Raw genomic sequence first — 6,552 nt, forward strand, 5'->3', positions numbered from 1 at the left:
TACCTGGATTCCGGCTCCATGCTGAGGTGTCTGCTGCCACATCAAGATCAACATCTTTGAAGCCACCAGCGCTGCAAGAGAGCTGCAGCAGTCACCATGAAACCTCCACGAAACCACCTGCAGGGCCACCAGTTCAACATGCTTTCCCTCCCACAGTCAACATTGCAGAATGAGAGTTGAGTGAAACAGTTAATCTGTTCATTCTTACTCACTTTTTTTCACTTGTTTATTTCAGAACCCTCTTCCTAAGGCACAGACATGAGTCTGTGTGGGCTGGGCCACAGAGCAGTTAGTGGGATAGATGCTGTCCAGAACCAAAATGAGCCCTTGATCCTCACCTGGCTCACTCACTAGGTACCCTTGTGTGCTCTTCAACCCTCCTTCCTCTTAGGATGAGTTTCTTCCCAGGGAGCTCCAAAGTCTCTCAGCAAATATGTCTTTGATAGGGTCAGTCCATAGGCCACATAGACAAGACATACAGACCTGTCAGACCCATCTGAATCATGGTATGAGGACAGGGAACCCCACCCACTGGAGCTCTGCTCCTGCCTAAACAGCAGCAGAAAGCAGAGGGATTGGAACTTTCAGAAGGGTACAAACCATGGGCTACCAAAGGGGTGTTCTTCCAAAAGGCCTTTTAAAAATATGAAAAATCATTTTAGTAATCCAAGTATCTCTCTTTGTGGAATATGTTTAGGAATTGGGTAGGAAACAAAGACTTGAACAGCTGCCCAGGGACTGGGGAGGGCTCCCAATTGGCATTATTTCTGTTTTCCTCTCAGAGAAACTCCCTTGAGTCTCAGGTCTTGATCAAGGATGCATGTAGGACTCTGGTGAATTTTTTAACTGGTTCTTGTCCTTCACTGATCTGAGGGGAATTCCAACACTAGTCACCCACTATCTTCTGATGAGTGGCCAGGGACAGGCCCAAGCTAGATCTGTGACCATCGCAGCAATAATGTTCAACCATTCTGGGAACCCCCCTGGGGATCACGATGACACTGGAATACTGTTAAGGTGGAATTTTGCCCCCAGTACCAGCCCGGGATCCCAGACACCTCTCAGAAAGGTCCCCAAGGGAGAAATATACACACCTTGAAAACAAGCAGCCCAAAGATTGTGTTCTCTTACTAAGCATTCACATCATGTTTTTATTTTATTTTTGGCGTAGCATTGTAGTGGCACCTGTTCCTGTTTTCACAATTAGGAAACCATCATTCCTACTCAGCTCCTGAGCCCACAGCTGTATTGGAGTTCTCTGGACACCACTCCCTTCCTCTGACTTCCCCTCTGCCAGCTTCCCATGTGGTTTTCTTCTCTCCAACCAAGAGTCAGTGGATCCCAAGCACTATTTTATCAGAGTTAAAGACTGTCTTCTTTCTCATTAGAATAGATTCCAAGTGAATTCCAACCCATTTGATCTTAAGGAGGAGCTGCCAAGTCCCAGTGACAGTTAGTGATGACATTAGAAGAAAATGAACCGCTCAGCAATTTTGCATCTCAATAGTCGGCCCTTCTCTACACACGGCTGAGTTAGAGGTGCTGGATCCAGCTCTCGTGCCCCGCAAGAACATGACCAGTGGGATCAAGTCTTTAGAGTTCTTCAGGCCAAATGTGATGCTGTGTGGCTTCTGAAGCCAGGGCTAAAAGGCCATGTGGTTTCTGCCTTGTTCACTGGAGCATTTGCTCTTGAAGTCCTGACTGCCTGGTAAAAAGACCAATGCCTCTGAAGCTGCCATGCTCTGAGGAAGCCCAAGCCACGTGGGGAGGCTGTGTGGAAACACTCTGATCAGCAGTCCCAGCCGAGCTCAGGCACCAGAGATGTGAGTGAAGAAACTTCTAGAAGATTGCAGTCATTCAAGTCTTTTACATTGTGGAACAGAGAACAGAGACAAGCCAACTCTACAGTGCCCTGCCCAAATTCCCAACCCACAAAATCCATGATAATAATAAAATGTTGGTTGTTTTCCTCCTGTAAGTTTTGGGGAATTTTGTTCCTTAGCAACTAATAGCTGAAACACTGAGAACTCTGCTCCTTGCGTCCATGCAAGATTAGAAAATCTTTATTTTGTATCTTTTCTTTTATGTTGTTTTCCTTCTGTTTCACTTGACATCTATTATTGTGGGAGAAATCCTGAACTCTTCCAATTCCTTCTAGAAAAGCCAAAGAAGCATCTTTCGATGATAATCAGCAATAAATAGTCAATTATTTGCAGATCTACACAAATACGCCAAACAGAGAACCCATAGCGGCATGTTATGGTTTGGCTCTGTGTCCCCACCCAAATCTCACCTTGAATTATAATCCCGAGAATCCCCAAACGTCAAGGGTGAGATCAGGTGGAGGTAATTTGAGTCATAGGGGCAGTTTCCTCCATGCTGTTCTCATGATAGTGAGTGAGTCTCATGAGATCTGTTGGTTTTATAAGTGTCTGGCATTTCCCCTGCTTGCACTCACTCTGTCCTGCCGCTCTGTGAAGAAGGTGCCTTGCTTCCCCTTGGCAGTCTGCCATGATTGTAAGTTTCCTAAGGCCTCCTCAGGAATGCAGAACTGTGGATCAATTAAACCTTGTAAATACTCCAGTCTTGGGTATTTCTTCATAGCAGTGTGAGAATGGATGAATACAAGGCACATGCAGTGAAGGTGGCTGAAAGATTTCCATTTGGCCACTGACTTCACTTACTCTACTTTTCAGTGATCTGTGATGACACAGGAAGAAAGGCAAAACAAATCTGAAGACAAAGGAAGTCACATAATCAGGACACTCATGGTGGAATCATTGCATCGGCCATAAGCCCTGCAGTAGGGAGGCCACCAGGTCAATGGCTACATGTATGATGGAGCATGTGACCACTTACAGTGATGGCAGAGAGCACAGGAGAGATGGGGGAAATGCTGAGATACACTTGTTGTGGAAAACAACAGCCATGTGTGCACTGAAAGCAGCTCTGGATAAAGTAATTTTAAAAGAAGAGAGAAAAACCCAGGAGATAACAGTCACATACAACTGGAAACATGTACAAGGATGTTCATTGCAGCCCTGCTGGTTTTAGCAAAAACATGGAAACAACCTCATGCCTCAGTCAAAAGATAAGTGGGCAGATGAAGTCTTCATTGGCATAAATACAAGCAATAAAACTGTATGAAAAAGAAAGCAGGCCAGTGAAAGCCAGGACTCAGGCGATGATTAGCCTCAGGTAGAGAAATGCAGGAGGGTCAAAGGAGAACCATCTGGATACGGGAAGGTAGTTGTCAAAGTTAGAGGTTTTGTTTTGGGTGGTGAATTTTCTGGTGCTTAAAAATAACTAGATAAGTAAAAATCCAAATGTGCACCATCCATGGGTCAGCGATGAGGGCGTGTCAGGGAGCAAGGACTGTGGTTAATCCAGCCTGGTACAGGAGGCCCAGCCGAGCAAAGAAAGGGAGACTATGACACGGGAGGAGGACAGGTGCAGGAGCAGGCAGAGGCGGCTCCTCCAAGCAGCTGAGCTGCAGAGGGGGAAGAAAGTGAAGGCAGCAGCAGAGGGGCGTGAACAGGGCCAGGATGTTGTTTTGTGTGTTTGTTTGTTTTTAGTGCATTTGCTAATGGAAACAATCCAGGAGGAACTGATGATGCAGAAGCGAGGGAGAATCCTGGGTCTGGCACTGTGAGGAAGCAGGAGGGAATGTGAAGTGGTATCAAACGAGTTTTTCTCTGTGGAACAGAATGTCCTGTCCTTGTAGAAGGGGCAGCTGCCTGCTTGCCTGGCAAGGCGTCATCTCAAATAAAAGGAATGTGGGTGCCAAGTGTAACCTAAGACATCCACCTTGCACCCACACCTTGCATCCACCTCGCACCCACACGCTGTGCGTCCCACAGACCCGCCTACCTTCCCACAGAGGCATCTTCTTATTTGCAGAAAGCCATGGACCCAAACAATCCCCCTCCACCTGCCTGCCTTTCCTCAAAATCCTGCCTTTATCTCCATTCTCTGGGAGAAGGAAGATACTGCACGTTTTCCAAGGGAGGCACATTTCGCAGCTGTCATGCCCCTGCCTGGTTTCTGTGCTCCCCTGCCTGGTTTCTGGGCTCCCCTGCCTATCAACAGTGACTGCAGGCTCTTTAAAACTGCTCGGGCCCACCCCGTGGCTTCCACCTTCACAGACCCTGAGCTGCAGACACCTGGGCATTCAACTTCCCCCACCATGCTGTTCCTGGCGGGGGTCTTTCTTCCTTCTCATTTGTAAGAAACAGTCGATACGATTTCAGGCGTAGTTTAATGCTGCTTCCCACATGATACAGCCCCACCTGCAGTGGATGTGCTCCCCTTCACACCCCTGCCTCGTGTCATCTGGACATTTCTGATGGGCCCTGCCCACCCGCCCCCTCCACACCTGCTCCGGGCTGGGCTCTCCCCGGGACCCAGCCATGTCCTGGTCATCATTATGTGCCCCACAGCAGGCAGGCTCCCAAAGGCCTCTTTTACCCTCTCAGGCAGTGAGAGTCCTGATGCTGCCCCCAAATCTTTGTCCCTTCTAAGAGAAGAGTTGGGGGAACCAAGCATTATGCCTGATGCCAAATCCAACTCGGGCCAATGGAGCTGAGTTATACACAGTTTTACTTTCCTGAAAATCTTGGTGCTTTCTCTCAAAAGTGGAGTCATGCATTTTGTAAGGAGCCTTCTCTCCCTGAGCTATAGAGTGAGACCTCTGACTCCTGGACCTTCTTCCTGGGCTCATCCCGGGAGCACCCTCCTCTGCACCTGCCCCTCCTCCCCACGGGTCCTCCCGCCAGCACGGGTGAACGCTGCTAACTCAGAAGTCCCACCCCTGCCTTGGACAAGTGCCCACTCCTGCGCGTACATGGCCAGCTGGGTCTCCGCATAGCTCTCTCCACCTCGCCTCTCCCACTCCCTGTTCCCGTTCCCATCTCTGTCCTCCTCCTGCCGGTCCCCGCCGGTGGGGCAGCCTTTCAGTGGTCCTGGCCCTGCCCAGTTCCTAGGGCCCCTGCTGTACCATCTGACCAGATGCTGACCTTAGCTGCTACATTCACTTCTGTTGCCTGGGGACTTGGAGGAGCTGACCCCTGGCTGGAGGGGATGGGAGAGGCTTTAATTTAGTTCTTTCTTTTGAGGCTTTCCCTCTCCCAACCGGCTTTCATTTCCTCCCTGTGGCATTAGCCGTTCCTTGTCTCCACCCCTGGCCTTTTCCCACAAGCAGGAAGGTGGGCTGGGGCAGGAGAGGGTGGGGCCGGGTTTTGCAGGCTTGGTTTCCATTAATTATTGGGATAACAATAAGAAACTGAGAAGAGAGAGAGAGAGACAGAGACGCAGAGACTCACAGTGCCACACTGCATTGCAACTACCCCACACTGCGCTGCCTGTACATTTTCCGAAAGTTTCCATCTCCAGCTGGGCTGGAGGAGGCTGTGAGTGAGGGCTGGGCCTCCAGGGGAGAGAACTCGTAGCCCCCTCATCCGGCGGCGTGAGGAATCCTAACAAGAGGGCAGGGGACAAAATCCAGTGGGTGGAGGATGGAAGCACCTGAAGATCCTCCTATTCAGGGCAGGTCTTGTCTTCAAAAATTTCTAGATATGGTTTTGTTCCTGGCATAGGAATCTTCACTCCCGGAACCAAAATTTGAGAGACAGGTTTCCTCGGCAACCGAGGAAACATCTCTAGAGAAGGGTTATATTGTTTTGAAGTGTTTTGAAATCTTATCAATGGTTTCCAGGGAAACACGAGATGATGAATAGAGGCCTTGCTAGGTGAATTTAAGAAGAAACACAGGGGAACATATTTGGATTCACAGTGTGCAAGTATTCAGCTGTGTATCAAGGCAGAAAAGTATATTTCACTCTCATCTGACATTTTAATTTTATTACTAGTTCAGCTTCATGTACAGTAACTCCTCAGGGAGGTCAGCATTATTTGAATCCCAATTAAAGAAATTACACAAAGTTTTTAAATTATGAAATTTGTGAATCCCACGGGAATCAACATTTTAATTAACATTATGTATTATACGTAGGGAAAATAAAGATTTAAAGTAGCAACTGAGCAGCCAAACTGTGGTCAGAACAGTTTGCGAATTAAACGGCAGTGGAGTCTCCAGCAGAAACGGCAGAACGGCAAATGAGCTCAGGGAGAAATGGCCAGAACTGTGACTCCAGCTCACCTGTCACTCCTACTCTGTTTGCCGGTGAAAAACGCCTGGCAAGTCTGACTGTCCAGTGGTGTGGAGTTTTAATCTTTTCTTGTTTTGTTAAGCTACTGAAATCACCAGGTGCCTTTGTGTTCTTTCAGCAGGTAATATTTTGTCTTGGTTGATCCATGATTACATCTCAGGGTTCATCTTTGCCCTTATTGATTGTGTGACTATTTTTTGTTTGTTTGTTTGTTTGTTTTTGAGACAGAGTCTTGCTCTGTCATCCAGGTTGGAGTGCAGTGGCACGATCATGGCTCACTGCAGCCTCAACTTCCCGGGCTCAAGCGATCCTCCCACGTCAGCCTCCCGAGTAGCTGGGACCACAGGTGTGTGACCACACTCAGCTAATTTTTAAAATTGTTTTT

At 48.2% G+C, this 6,552-nt stretch overlaps 2 annotated features.

Annotated features, from left to right (window-relative positions):
* Positions 210–1,409: an enhancer, noted in NCBI's record as "BRD4-independent group 4 enhancer chr2:235991995-235993194 (GRCh37/hg19 assembly coordinates)". NCBI's record gives its function as "activates an origin of replication core promoter dependent on BRD2, P300/CBP, MED14 and CDK7 cofactors, and independent of BRD4, by STARR-seq in HCT116 cells {active_cell/tissue: HCT116}" and the evidence as "EXISTENCE:reporter gene assay evidence [ECO:0000049][PMID:35650434]".
* Positions 4,315–4,815: an enhancer, noted in NCBI's record as "H3K4me1 hESC enhancer chr2:235996100-235996600 (GRCh37/hg19 assembly coordinates)". NCBI's record gives its function as "activates a minimal SCP1, AML or CMV promoter by ChIP-STARR-seq in naive H9 embryonic stem cells {active_cell/tissue: H9 hESC(naive)}" and the evidence as "EXISTENCE:reporter gene assay evidence [ECO:0000049][PMID:30033119]".

The sequence above is a fragment of the Homo sapiens genome, chromosome 2, assembly GCF_000001405.40.
Source record: "Homo sapiens chromosome 2, GRCh38.p14 Primary Assembly".
Taxonomy (NCBI): Eukaryota; Metazoa; Chordata; class Mammalia; order Primates; family Hominidae; genus Homo; species Homo sapiens.